General features: G+C 39.6%; 1 protein-coding gene and 1 pseudogene across 5 annotated transcripts in view, besides 1 other annotated feature; one reads left to right on the forward strand and one right to left on the reverse strand.

Annotated features, from left to right (window-relative positions):
• The window catches only part of ZNF678 (zinc finger protein 678), a 116,114-nt gene that overhangs the window by 25,770 nt on the left and 75,303 nt on the right, over nt 1–15,041 (forward strand). The gene's annotated exons all lie outside the window — the stretch shown is intronic.
• Nucleotides 7,769–7,969: a silencer, noted in NCBI's record as "peak744 fragment used in MPRA reporter construct". NCBI's record gives its function as "represses an SCP1 promoter by STARR-seq MPRAs in K562 erythroleukemia cells {active_cell/tissue: K562}" and the evidence as "EXISTENCE:reporter gene assay evidence [ECO:0000049][PMID:32103011]".
• Nucleotides 9,105–9,808, reverse strand: FAM133FP (family with sequence similarity 133 member F, pseudogene; annotated as a pseudogene).

Here is a 15,041-nt window from a genome sequence, read left to right on the forward strand (position 1 = left end):
GTATAAGGAAGGGATCCAGTTTCAACTTTCTGCATATGGCTAGCCAGTTATCTTAGCCCCATTTATTAAATAGGGAATCTTTTCCCAATTGCTTGATTTTGTTAGGTTTGTCGAGGATCAAATGGCTGTGTAGCAGGACGAGCTGCAGACAAAACTCCTCAGACACTGAGTTAAAGAAGGAAGAGGTTTATTCAGCTGGGAGCATTGGCAAGACTCCTGTCTCAAGAGCCAAGCTCCCCGAGTGAGCAATTCCTGTCCCTTTTAAGGGCTCACAACTCTAAGGGGGTCCACGTGAGAGGGCTGTGATCAATTGAGCAAGCAGGGGGTGCATGACTGGGGACTGCATGCACCAGTAATCAGAACGAAACATAACAGGACAGGGATTTTTACAATGCTCTTCCATACAATGTCTGGAATCTATAGATAACATAACAGGTTAGGTCAGGGGTCGATCTTTAACTATCACGCCCAGAGCACGGGGCCGGGCTTTCTGCCTGTGGATTTCATTTCTGCCTTTTAGTTTTTACTTCTTCTTTCTTTGGAAGCAGAAATTGGGCATAAGACAATATGAGGGGCAGTCTCCTCCTTTATTCCCCCACTTTGAGACTCTCACTCATTTTATTAGTGGGAGTTCTCACTTTTATCTTTACCATCTGTGTCTCCCTGCATGACAGATAGTGATTTATTGTAATACACTTCTGCTGAAGCATTCTGGTGAACTAGAGTAGCGATGAAACCTTTTACCATTTGAATGAGTGCAGGTAGTAAATAAGGGATCAGTAAGCAGGTTCCTATTACTACTATAATTTTTATTATAAGAGTTTTAAATCCTCCTAGCACTGGGAACCATTTTTAAACATGGCCTCAGGGTCAAATCCGTGCCACACTTGTACAGGCACTTGCCAGTTTCATCATGTCTTTAACTGTATCTTCGACTACTTGCCCCTGATCATCTATGTGCAGGCAGCAGTTGGTAAGGTTAAATTTTCTACAGACTTCTCTTTCAGCTGCTAGCAAGTAGTCGAGAGTCAGTTTATTTTGATAGATAACATTTCTCATCTGAGTTTCTTGCCGGGCCAGAACAGTCAAGGTTTTACCAGTTTTATTAGTGATAATCTCCAAGACAGCAACTACATGATTTGGTTGAGCATGTTAATGGGGGTTGGGTATCCCCACGAGCCGTCTTGTGCCCAAGCGGCAGGCCCATAGTATTGTATAATTTTTTCAGGAGGCCGTTTATCATCTTTTTAATTATCTATGGCTATGCTTCTCTTTTCGCAGGAAGCATAGACAGGGAAGCCCAGGAGTTCGCCTGTTTTTATGGGCAGTAGGAAGAAAGATGGTTTAATAGTGCCAATAACACAACTACCTGTCCACTGATCAGGCAGCTTAGTGTAGGCTCTATGTCCACATATCCATTATAGCCCGGTGGGGGCCGTCCAGTCCCAGTGGAATTCTGGGTAGGCCTAAATGGTCTGCAGCTTTGGAAATTTACTCTGTGTCGTTTGAACTCCACCATGTGGTCTTCCTACAGGAAGGGTGAACTCCTTCCCCACTCTTGCTATACAGTATTGCCTAATCATTGAGGCTTTTAGGACCTAGAAGTGATCAGGGTGATTCTTTTGGGCCGGGAATTCATTCAGGAACTGGGTCTGTAGGTACTAATTCTCGGGCTTCCTATGGCCATTGATCTCCTATTACAGTTCCTCCACATACATAACATGAAGTGACATTGAGAGACTGCGCTACATGCTCGGCTAATTGCAAAAACAAATTTCTTGTTTTTCTTGGAATTTTTGGTACTGGCACATTTAGTTTATTGTAGAAGGTTTGAAATACTGGCTCAGGAGAGCGTTTATAAACTTTTTCTCAAACCACGATATTTACTTGAAGATCCAGTCCAGCTCTATCAATTTTTAGGGTTACACGTTCCCCTTTTTTCTAACGAGGATTAAGGGTTATTACTAGTTCTAAGGGGTTACACTGACCACTGGTACAGGAAGGGCCACTTTTCCCTTGCTGAAGGTAGACAGGATTTTTTTCATTTTTTTAAATTTAAGTAGCCTAAATGACACAAGACCAGTATCTACATTTATTTTCACACAGTCCTAATTCATGATAAATGTACTTATTTTCTGCCATATAGCCTCTTTCCTAATTAAGAGAACCACATCCTATTTTTAACTTATTAATGACAGCACAGGCATCAAATTTTAAGGTGACTTGTTTGGGCACCTCTTTTTTTTCTGTTTTGGCTCACACTTTACTCGTATCATTTATGAGCCCCCACCAGTCTTCAGTTCTTAATCTTATTTTAAAAACTGTGGTCATGGGAGGCTCAGATGGGTCATAACACACATCAGGTTGGTCATTTCCTGGGCTAAATACCTTGTATAGAATAACATTGTACAAACAAGTTCTTTTTAGAGTTCCAGTACACTTATAATAACCATAAAATAATAGGACCATAGCAACCTTTTCTCCTACCTCAGTGACTTGATGTATACACTGCGAACAGCCCTCAGTCTGAGGAAGGTCAGTTGAAGTCCTTACTGTACAAGTCCAAATTTTAAGGAAAATGAGTCCCGCGATGAGTTTCCTCATGCTTCAGCCGTGCGTGGACCAGTCAGTTTCCGCGTGTGACTGGAGGAGGGCTTGTCTTCTTCAGAGTCACTTTGCAGGGGTTTGCAAAGCTGCTCCCATCCACGTACAGCTCCCAGTCTACTGGATGTTTAAGGATGGTCTCAGAGGTTGGGCCCACTAGAATAAACTGAGTCCAATACCTCTACATAGTTATGTTCAACTGGGCTCTCTGATACCGGGAGCAAGGTGGCGGGGTTTAGGGTGTTGTAAACTTCAGTGGTTATGCGGGGATTTTCACAGAGCAAGCTTTGGTATCTAGTTAGTCTAGCATTTGTCAGCTAATGATGTCCTTTGGTATTTATTAAAGTCACCACAGCATGGGGGGATTTTAGGTTTAGGTTTTGCCTAAGAGTTAGCTTATCTGCTTCTTGTGCTAACAGGGCCATTGCTGCCAGGGCCCTTAGACATGGGGGCCAGACTTTGGAAACCCCATCTAGTTGTTTTGAGAGATAGGCCACTGGCCTTGGCCAGGGCCCTACAGTCTGGGTTAAAACTTCAACTGCCATTTTTCTTTTTCTGACACATAGGGTGTAAAGGGATTTGTCAGGTCAGGAAGCCCCAGGGCTGGGGCCGACATGAGTTTTTCTTTAACTCATGAAAAGCTTGTTGCTGTTGGTTGTAATAGATGTAGTTTATCTAATCTACATTTTTATTAACTGTCACCCACTAAAATATTGACTTAAATCCTGTAGGTATTTGATTTCAAGCTTTAAATTGATCTGGTATTCCTTGCGGGGCTCCAGTTGCATCTAAATAGATGTGAGAGTTGAAAGACCTATAAGGGGCTTCTCTTGCTTTACGATGTCTTATTTCTTCTCCCTCTGGTTGATGAAATGCCAGGGTGAAAGGGATAGCCAAATGGACTAAAGCACAAGTGCCACTCCAGTTATTCGGCAGAGTGCCCAGTAAAGGTCCACCACAGTACCACCACACATCCACTCGGGGATGAACAAGGGCTGACTGATTCATAAGCTCTTGAAAATTCTTAAGCTCATCACATCCCTTCAGGTCTCCAAGGAATGGTAAGTTTTCTCCTTGTCGTGAGAGACACAAAGTGAACTTAGTGTTGGGAGACGGAAGCTGGATGGCCCTTGGGGGCTGACCCGCAGGGTGCCGGACTTCAGGATATGGCAGAGAGAGCTTGGCATGACTTACTACTCCAGGCTGTAGAATCCTGGAAAAGAGCTACCATGCAGCCTACGCCTGGTCTACTGGAGGACCACATTAGTGGAAGGGGGACAGTTTGGGCCTCTGGCCTGCCATGTGCACAAGTATAACAATTGCCTTTGTTTAATGTGCAGATGGATTATTTGATCCATTTTAACCAGGCATTTGCATCTTGGTATCCTGTCTTTATTGCTAAAGTTTGTTTTAAGTCTTTAACTTCGATGACCCTCTAGTAAAATGAAGGTATGATTTTAGGAAATTACAAAAACCGGTTGGGGCAGTCCATCCTTGCCCTTTAGTGGTCCACAGAATGTTGGACCAGCTATGGCATGAAAGCTCTACATTGGGGGGCAAGACTCCTGGTTGGCACTGGGGTCTTTATCGAAATCTCCCTGGATTAATGGTCCTAGTTTACTAATGCCCAGTCTGAGGAGGGTCAGGAGGGACAGAAGTACTTTTCTGAAGTAGAAAGCTGTCTTTGACTTGCAAGTCTCCACAGGGTATAACAAGGCAAGCATTAAATGCAATAGTTTGAGGTGAAATTAACATGGTTATGTTAATAACTAGATGGTCAGCAATAGAATGAGGAAAGAAGAAAGAGTAATAGAATAGATGAAAAGAGTTACATTTTTCTTAGCTTTGGTAGGGTTTTCCCCTGGGACCATGGCCCACAACTCTGGATGGGGTGGTGCTTTCTTGACTCTGGTGTTATGAGTCCATCCCCCCCCCCCCTTTTTTTTTTTTTTGATGTACGAACAGCAGTCTTGGTGGTTAGCAGCACAAGGTAGGGTACTTCCAGGCTGGCTCAAGTTTTTCTTCTTTCCACCCTTTGATGAGAACGTGATCTTCAAACTGGTGCTGATTTGCCGGAAATTCTAGGGGTGGTACATGTGCTAAAAGACTGAGTTTTTGAGGGAAAGGAAAGTGGAAGATAAATGAAGTATATAATTTTAAAGAAATTGACCTTTTGTTTTAAATGTGGGGACCTTGGCAGTGGACTTCATAGTCCTAAGTGCCTTTTTACTGAGAAAATTCCTTTAGCACCTATTTTTATTAGTTTTTAAACCAAAGAAAGCCAGATACCATTTTACATTTAACAATGCTTTTTGTATGATTTTTATACCAGATAAGCTAAATTTTACCTTTGTATTAGTGTGTTATTAATGTTAAACCTAATTTTAATAAAACCTGATAGACGTATTTATCCAATTGTTAATGTTTGACCATAAGGTAAGATTTTATGGACTCTTTTTAACCTTTCATAATTTTTGTTAAAGAGCAGGTTGGTGCTTTAAGAAAAACCTGCTGTGCTTTTATTTTAATGTCCAGTTTACAGAAAAACTGGATGATACCTCTTTAACTTTAGCCAGTGTTTACACACAGAATTTTCTTTCCAATTAACATTTTAAAACTTGATTAAACCTTTAAAACAAAGTATACATATTTTTAACCTTTTGATGTAGGTAAAAATTTATAGTCTTATGCCTCCTTATAATTCTTTTACCAGAGGTATATTTTACTTTCCTTATACATCTTGCACATAAAGTGTTTTTCTATAACATTTTCCTCTTTCACGACTTTTGCAGACAATTCTTTGACATGCCTCAACTTTCTGACTTATTACAAATATTTGTTTCTTTAAACAGCTAGTTAATTTATTTCAGGACAAGAGTTTACCATATAATACTCTTTTTACATAAATTCCGCCCCCCCCTTTTTTCCTTAGGTTACTTCTGAACTGGTGAGGTGTGCTCACAATGAGGTTTCCTCTAAAAGTTATTTTTTTTACTGTTTTTCTGTTAGCAAAGCAGTTGCTGCTACAGATCGAATGCATTTGGGCCATCTGTGGATTACTGGGTTAAGGACTTTTGATAGGAAAGCCTCAGTGCTTTCGGGATACGCCCTTGTTTACAGTGACAACAAAGTGGTATTGGAGTGTTATAGGGTTACGGAGAATACCTTCAATTATCAATTACAGGTTTTAAATTTACCTTTGCTTTTAAAGGAATAAGGTACGCTGTTTTTTTTTTTCTTAGCTACTTGTATATATCTCTCTCTCTTTCTTTCTGTCTTTGACTTTGTCTCTCTCTCTTTGACTTTCCTTTTGCCTCTGTCTCTTCCTCTCTCTTCTCTGTCTCTCTCTCTCTCTCTCTCAGCCTGGCTTATGCTGCAGTTCTCTCAACCACTGTGGAGAGATCTAAAACCAGCTGTAACCAAGCATCTGTGTAAGGGAACTGGTCTGGGTGCCCTGGCTTTACAGGTTACCTTGTGCCATACCTTTGAAACAAGGGACCTATCCAGGCTTCTTTCTGATGGCCAATCCACCTCTAATGCTGGCCAGTCTGTTTTACACAAAGTTTTACATTTTCCTGGTGTCATAGTACTCCATAGTCTCCTTTAAATCCTTTTTTGAAATTTTTTAACATAGTTCCTAGTAGGGTGGGCTTATTTGTGCCTGACCCATGCTTCTTCGAGACAAAACACCATGCTCAAACCACACGCACACCACAAAACAAAGAACGGGTAAAAAGGGCACACACACACTTTTGCAGTTTACACCAAACCAAAATCAAAACCAAAATCAGAGTATCCAGAAATCCAAGCCAGGTCAAAACCAAAACCAAAGTATCAAACAATCCAAGTCAAGTCAAAAACAAAAACCAGAGTGCTGGTACAGGCACACCGTGGGTGATCAGGCCACGCTTCCACTCAAATGGAGTAGGCAAGTTCCCAAGACCAGTCCTGTCAAGCAATTTAAACCAAGTCAAAACCAAAACCAAAACCAAAGTGCAGATAAAGGCACGCTGTGGGTGATCAGTCCATGCTTCCACTCAAATGGAGTGGGCAAGTTCTCGAGACTAGTCTTACCAAGTTTCAGATGTCCGGACTCCAAGTACTAGTTCCTTCCCGGTGTTTAGCCACTGCATTGATCCTCCATGGGAGCCTGCCACACACTGCTCTGGTGAGGCATCCCACCAGGGCAAATGCCTACCCGGGAGCACTCTCAGGATCTGCGTTGCTTGGGCTGGTTGGAGTCCCCCGCAGGGATGTTCCACAGGGCAGGCTTAAGCTGCATAAGGAGCTGCCGCAACCATCCGCCAATCACCTCACTTCCCAGTCAGGGAACCAAGAAATATAGCAGGACGAACCTAAGACAAAACTCCTCAGACACTGAGTTAAAGAAGGAAGAGGTTTATTCAACCAGGAGCATTGGCAAGACTCCTGTCTGAAGAGCCGAGCTCCCTGAGTGAGCAATTCCTGTCCCTTTTAAGGGCTCACCAGTAATCAGAACGAAACAGAACAGGACAGGGATTTTTACAATGCTCTTCCATACAATGTCTGGAATCTATAGATAACATAACCAGTTGGGTCAGGTGTCTATCTTTAACTACCACACCCAGAGCCTGGTGCCGGGCTGTCTGCCTGTGGATTTCATTTCTGCCTTTTAGTTTTTACTTCTTCTTTCTTTGGAGGCAGAAATTGGGCATAAGACAATAAGAGGGGTGGTCTCCTCCCTTAGCTGTAGGTGTGCAGTCTTATTTCTGCTGAATTCTTTACTAGGAATGTTAAAATAAATTAATAATTCATTTTCATTTTACATTTTTATACAATCAGGTAACATGAAATATAACTTGATGTACAATTTTGCCTGTTACAAAGGATGTGCTAAATATAGTGGTATATGCACAGAACATATTGGCATGACAACAGGCTGAATAAATAGCTATTTTACTTAATAAAAATGAAAAAAGAAAATTATAAAATAAGGAATATCAAACACAAAGTCCAAATTCAACAGCACATAATAAAAGTTTTTTCTAAAATCTAGTTTTTTCTTTGAATTCCTGAAATTAATACCCTTCTGAAAACATCTACTGTATTTAGACATAATTAAGATATAACTGAAATTAAAGAATAAAATTCTCCTACCACTTCATTGAGAAAATCCTGCCTCATTCTGATTACTGGTGTCAGTGATAAGCTTTGTTTCTATAGATTATAGATTAACTAAAATTATTCCTTATTGGAAACAAAGGGGTGGGCCAAAATGGATGGGTTTGGCTAGTTATCTGCAGCAGGAGCATGTCCTTAAGGCACAGATAGCTCGTGCTATTGTTTGTGGTTTAAGAAGGCGTTTAAGTGGTTTTCTGCCCTGGGTGGGCCAGGTGTTCCTTGCCCTCATTCCGGTAAACCCACAACCTTCCAGCGTGGGCGTCATAGCCATCACGAACGTGTCACAGTGTTGCAGAGAGTTTATTTTTGGCCAGTTTTGGGGCCAGTTTATGGCCAGATTTTGGGGGTCCTATTCCCAACATAAAACTTAGTATAAAACATGCGTTTTAGAATCTTCAGCTATCAAGTTCAAAAAGTACCAGTGTCTATTTAAAATAATTCCTCTCCCAAGCCAAAGTGTAATCAAAATTAATTCAAATGACATAGCACATTCTAATGCTAAAAAATATTCATTATTATTGAAGTGGAGGTAAATCCCAGAGCTTTTGGGGCTTTCTCATGCTGCAAATGGCTGTTTCTCTGGTTCACTCAAAGCAGCATATGACAGAACATATTGGCATGACAACAGGCTGAATAAATAGCTATTTTACTTAATAAAAATAAAAAAGAAAATTAAAGGATGACACTAAGCTCAGTAAAGGATGACACTAAGCTCAGTAAAGGGCAAGACTGCTGGTACCCAGCTCTGACCTCTCAGTGAAGTGTGGCTACTATGTCCACAATACAGGATGTGTGAGGATCAAAGGCACACTATTCTGCTAGCTAAAGAGATAGCAAACCAGCTCCGCAACCCTAAAAGCTCCTTCCCCAGGTAAATAAAAGTATACGAGGGGAAAAAATTAAAATATGCTTCTCTACAGAGTAAGGGTTTTGAAATATTAATGTAATCCCTCCTCCAAAAATTTTAACTAGAGTCATCTGGTCATTTCTGACTACATCTCAAAGATGTATCCAGATTCAATTTCTGTTGGTTTATCCTAGGACACTTCTAGCTAAAAGTATTAATTTTATTCCCAAATAACCACTAGTCTGACTGCAGAGTATTATCTCCCAGAATTATCAAGCACTGGAAGAGAAAAAAACAGATGTTCAAGCGGCAGGCAACATTTGTGGCCCTTTCACACAGTGGCATCTGAGTGGCTACTGAATAGTCCAGGAATAATTCTAAACACAAGAAAATTCGTGGATTTTAGTAAATATGTTGTAGTTTTCACAGTTGAAATTTCCTCAGACATTGCACTTTCTTTATAAGGGAATCCTGATTTTTCTTAATGTTATGGTGAGTCAGGACTTGAACTAGCAGCCTTCTTTTTCTTCTTACTATGTTTCTTATGCTTCTTTTTCTTTTTTTGTTTTTTTTCTGTTGCTTTTTCTCATTTTTCACTGCTTTTCTTCTTTTTTGCTCGTACCTCCTCAGTAAACTGTGATTCTGACAAGGACTTGGATGATAAAGGTTTATCTTAAGAATTTATCGTTCTCTTTTTGCTGAGCCCTTTAATGTCCTTTTCTTTCTCCGTTGCATCTTTTGACTTCTTTTTCTTTTTTAAACTATCCTTACTGTCTGATTCAGATTATGACATGGAGCTTTCAGAAGATTTATGTCAACGGTTCTTTTTCTTTCTCTGTTTTCCTTGTTTCTTATCCTCATTTTCACAATCAGAAGAACTGCTGGAAGAATTAGAGCTTAATGAAGAAGAAGATGAATACCTACCAAATTTATTCTTTTCTTTTTTTGTTTTGATGAGCTCTCACTTCCACTTAACAATTTCTCCCTGTCTCTTTCTAGTTCTTTCTTCCAGTTCTCATTCATTTTTTTCTTCAAATTCAGCCAAAACCTTGGAGCCTTTCTTTTCTCCTCTTCTAGTTGCTCTTTTACTTCTTCCCAGGTAGGCCTTGGTCGATTCAAATAATCCTGTATTGTTGGCCCTGAAGACTGGATTGGACCCCTTGATCTCGCCATTGCTATTGGGTTTATATAGGCCAGGATGTAGAACATATTCCTCCAGTTCTAGAATCATTTTCTTGTTCAAATAACCTTTGTTAAATTTAACTGGTTTCAGGTTTTTGTTTTTGTTTTTAACAGTATTGATCACATTCTAATTCCGTTGGTATCATGTCATAATTTTGGCAGTACCACGCGGTTGTCCCACTTCCCCATGGTGCTGGGCTGAGTGCACAGTCGCACGCTGAGGGAAACCAGGCCAGAGAGAAGGCCGAAGCAGGCCCACTGCAGGTCCTCCTGCCGCCTCCCCTATAATTTTCTTTTAAATACTGTATGTAATTAGGTGAAATTTTATCTTTGAAAGCAACAGATATCTAAATTCAGAATGACTGAGTTATACTTTTTTTTAAGTTTGGAGGCACTTTAGTGTATTTATAATATTTTAAGACTGATTAAAATTATGTCATAAAATATGAGATTATTTTACATTTTGTATTAATTAGATTTTAGATTACTATGAAGACCATTTAGTTTTATTATGCCATAGTAGTTGCTATTAGAGAATTTTTTTTTCCCGGCTACCATATAATATCTGAAAATAGAACTTTCTGTTGTTTATCAAATCTTTGAAGAATTAATAAACACCGTACATGAATGTTGCTTTAATATTCAGCGTGATTGTATACACCTTCTTAAAAATAAATTCAGCTTTATTATTTTTTCTTTATTTTTTTATTTCAAGCACGGGGTACATGTGCAGGTTTGTTATATAGGTAAACTCGTGTAATGGGGGTTGGTTGGTTGTACAGATTATTTCATTACCCAGGTATTAAGCTTAGTACGCATTAGTTATTTTTCTGATTCTCTCCATCCTTTTGCTGTCTACCCTCCAGTAGGCACCCCATGTCTGTTGTTCCCTTCTATGTGTCCGTGTGTTCTCATTTAGTTCTCCCTTAGGGAAATGCAATATTTGGTTTTCTGTTCCTGCATTAGTAGCTAATAATAATGGCCTCCCACTCCACCCATGCTTCTGTGAAGGACATGATCTCATTTTTTTTTAATGGCTGCATAGTATTACATGGCATATAGGTACCTAATTTTCTTTATCCAGTCTACCATTTATGGGCATTTAGGTTGATTCTATGTCTTTGCTATTGTAAATAGTGCTGCAGTGAACATAAGTGTGCATGTGTCTTTATGATAGAATGATTTATATTTCTTTGGGTATTTACCCAGTAATGGGATTGCTGGGTCAAATGGCAGTTCTTTTTTTCAGTCTTTGTGAAATCACCACACTGTGTTCCACAATGTTTGAACAAATTTACAGTCCTACCAACAGTGTATAAGCGTTTTGTTTTGTTTTGTTATTTTCTGACTTTTTAGTAATAGCCATTCCAACTGGTGTGAGATGATATCTCATTGTGGTTTTGATTTGCATTTCTCTAATCAGTTATGTTGAGCTTTTTAAAAATGATTGTTGGCTGCATGTATATCTTTTTTTTGAAAAGTGTTCTTGTCCTTTGCCCACTTTTTAATGGAGTTGTTTTTTTCTTTTAGATTTGTTTAAGTTCCATATAGATGTTGAATATGAGACGTTTGTCAGATACATAGTTTGCAGAAATTCTCTCCCATTCTGTATGTTGTCTGTTTACTCTGTCAGTAGTATCTTTTGCTGTACAGAAGCTCTTTAGTTTAATTAGACCCCATTTGCCAGTTTTTCCTTTCAGTGCAATTGCTTTTGGCATCTTCGTCATGAAATCTTTGCCTGTCTGTATGTCCAGGATGGTACTAGGTTGTATACCAGGGTTTAGTTATGGATTTTACATTTTAGTCTTTGATTCATCTTGAGTTTTGTGTATGGTTTAAAGAAGGGGTCCCGTTTCAATCTTCTGCATATGGCTAGCCAGTTCTCCCAGCATCATTTATTAAATTGGAAGTTCTTTATTCATTGCATGTTTTTTTAAGCTTTGTCAAAGATCAGATGGTTGTGGGTGTCTGGGCTCTCTATGCTGTTTCATGTGTCTATGTTTCTGTTTTTGTATCAGTACCATGCCACTTTGGTTACTGTAGCCCTGTAGTATAGTTTGAAGTCAGGTAGTGTGATACTTCCAGCATTGTTATTTTTGCTTTGGATTTTCATGGCTATTCAGTCTTTTTTAAAAAAAAGTTCTGTGAAGAATGTCATTGCTAGTTTGTTAGGAATAGCATTGAATCTGTAAATTGCTTCGGGCAGTATGACCATTTTAATAATACTGATTTTTTTAAATGCATGACCTTGGAATTTTTAAAATTTGTTTGTGTCATCTCTGATTTTTATTTGAGCAGTGTTTGTAGTTCTCATTGTAGAGCTCTTTGACCTTCTTGGTTAGCTGTATTTCTAGGTTTTTCTTTTTTTTTTTCTTTTTCTTGTGACAATTGTGAATGGGATTCCATTCCTGATTTGGCTGTTGGCTTTATAATTTTATTTATTTATTTTTATTTTATTTTTTTTGAGACGGAGTCTCACTCTGCTGGCCAGGCTGAAGTGCAGTGGTGCAATCTTGGCTCATTGCAACCTCCACCTCCCAGGTTCAAGCGATTCTCCTGCCTCAGCCTCCCGAGTAGCTGGGATTACAGGCATGTGCCAACACGCCTGGCTAATTTTTGTATTTTTAGTAGAGACGGGGTTTCACCATGTTGGTCAGGCTGGTCTTGAACTTCTGACCTCGTGACCTGCCTGCCTCAGCCTCCCAAAGTGCTGGGATTACAGGTGTGAGCCACCATGCCTGGCTTGGCTTTATAATTTTTGGTGTATAGAAATGCTAGTAATTTTTGTACATTGATTTTGTGTTTTGAGACTTTGCTGAAGTTGTTTATAACCTTAAGGAGCTTCTGAGTCAAGGCTATGGGGTTTTCTAGATATAGAATCATATCATCTGCAAACAGGGATAACATGACTTCCTCTCTTCTTACTTGGATGTCCTTTATTTCTTTCTCTTGCTTAATGTTCTGGCCAGGACTTCCAATACTATGTTGAATAGGAGTGGTTAGAGAGCATCTTTGTCTTCTGCTGGTTTTCAATAACAAAACAAAAACTTATATAAAGTTTTCTGCTTATCAGTTTGGCAGAGACAGATTAGTAATGAGATAATAATTGCTGAATTTGATAATTTGCCAGATTATTAAAATAAAAATCCTGCTGTTTTCTCTGAAAGTTTCAAATTACTTATCAGTTAAAATTTATGTTTACTGTGACAAGTAAAATTTTTGAGAATTTTTAGTTGTATGCATTAAAAATTTGTGTAATATACAGTACTTTTCAGAAGCACAAATATCCACATTGTACACATAAGTAAAATATTTCACAATTTTTTTTGGACAGACAGTAGTGTTTCATCAGAGATTTCAAGTCTCTTATTTGGACCACACACCCTATCCTATATACCATAAGATAACAGTAATTCGTAGAGTGCAATTATTTTTAGTACTTGAAAATTTATGTTTTGTGTAAATTGTTGAAATAATAGTGCTTCACTGCAGAAATAGTATCTGAATATAGCCAGAATTACTGTTTGTTTATAACAAAGGCTAGAATTGGTAGAATTATTTTAGGTATTGGGCTCTAAGCATCCTTCCTCCTCCTAGCACTTTCCTGACTGTGCAAAAATATCAGTTTGAATATTTCATTTAAACCAGGTGTTAACTTAAAAAGGTCTTAAATGAAGTTTGCATATGGCTGAATAGTACTTGTTGGTTACACTTTAAAGAATGCTTTTTGATCCAGGCAGAGTTGCATGTACCTGTAATTCCAGCTTCTTTAGAGGCTGAGGTATGAGAATTGCTTGAGCTCAGGAGTTCAAGGCTATAATGTGTGATGATTGTACCTGTAAGTAGCCACTGTGCCCCAGCCTGGGCAACATACCAAGATCTCCTGGAGGGGAGGAAAGTAAAACATAACTTGTGACCCATACAAGCATGTGCATCTTCCTGGAATGGGCTGCTGCTGGTTGTGCCGGGTTCCCTCTTGCAGGTACTGCCTGGCTGCCTCAGCATCTCCACGTGTGAATGAAGTCTCAGGCTTTGTGAGGAGAAAGAGCAGCTCCACAGGCAGCTAATTGTCTCCAGAGCTCCAAATCTGTTCCTCCCACGTCATGATGGGCATGGGGCGGGGGGAATGTTGCATTGTTTTCAGAGGAATCAGGTACAATCCCTGGAAGGATGAATCTATTTTGCTACTTTCTGTTGCCAGGTTGGGGGAAGTGCTAGGTGGTTCGCCTTTATTTGTATGGGGTACTCAGATGCCCTGCCACTGTGTTACTTGTTTTACTACCATAGAATGAGGGTTCACTTTCAAACTTGGCATGTAGATGCTATTTGCCACCAGCACAGAGGAGGACTGCTGACTTGGGACAGTGTACTTGGCAGCCTCAGGTGTATCTGGCCACCCCAGTGTGACCCACTGGGCCCGACTCCAGGTGCTGTAGTCCTGCTAGTATGTAGGGAGTCATCTGATTCCTCACCCGCCATTGCTCATGGGCTCCAGGGTCTTGGCACCCCAACCCAGCCCCCTTCTGCTGCTTCATGCCAGCTGTGGGAAGATGTGGACTGGTGCCTTGTCCACTTGAGCTCTTGTGGGTGCTCCAGGTCTGTTGACAAAGCAGTAAGTGGCAGCCACTAACCTTGAGCTTCTAGGATGTATTCAGTGGACTTCAAGTGCCTCTTAGAAGCCTGATTCCATTAACTCCCCCAAAACTTAATGCAATTTGAGGCTACTTCTCATTCTCATCTTAGTGTTACACAACCATTAATCTCCATTCTATCTGTAGACATTCACTTTCTGGACATGTCTTGTATAATTGGAACCATACATTATCAGTCTTTTGCTTCTGGTTTCTATTAGTTTGTTTGAGGTTCATATCTGTTGTAGCATGTAGCATTATTTAATTCATTTTGATGGCCAAATAGGATTCCAATATAAAATGTACTTAACTGTTTTTCCTTATATTAACTGGTTGACATTTTGACATTTGAGTATTTCCATTTTTCATATTTGGTTATAACAAACAATGTTCCAGTGAGTCTTTGTGTGAACCAACATTTTCATCTCTTTTGGGCACATGAGTGAGAGTGGAGCTGATGCACCAATATGGTAATTCCATGTTAAACATTTCGAGAAACTACCAAATTGTTTTGTAAAGCGGCTGTGCTGTTTTACAGTTTTATCAGCAGTTTGTGAGGGTTCTATGTTTACATCTCTGCCAATGCTTACTTTTGTTTGTTGTTAAATCATTCTACT

Source organism: Homo sapiens, chromosome 1 (assembly GCF_000001405.40).
Source record: "Homo sapiens chromosome 1, GRCh38.p14 Primary Assembly".
Classification (NCBI taxonomy): Eukaryota; Metazoa; Chordata; class Mammalia; order Primates; family Hominidae; genus Homo; species Homo sapiens.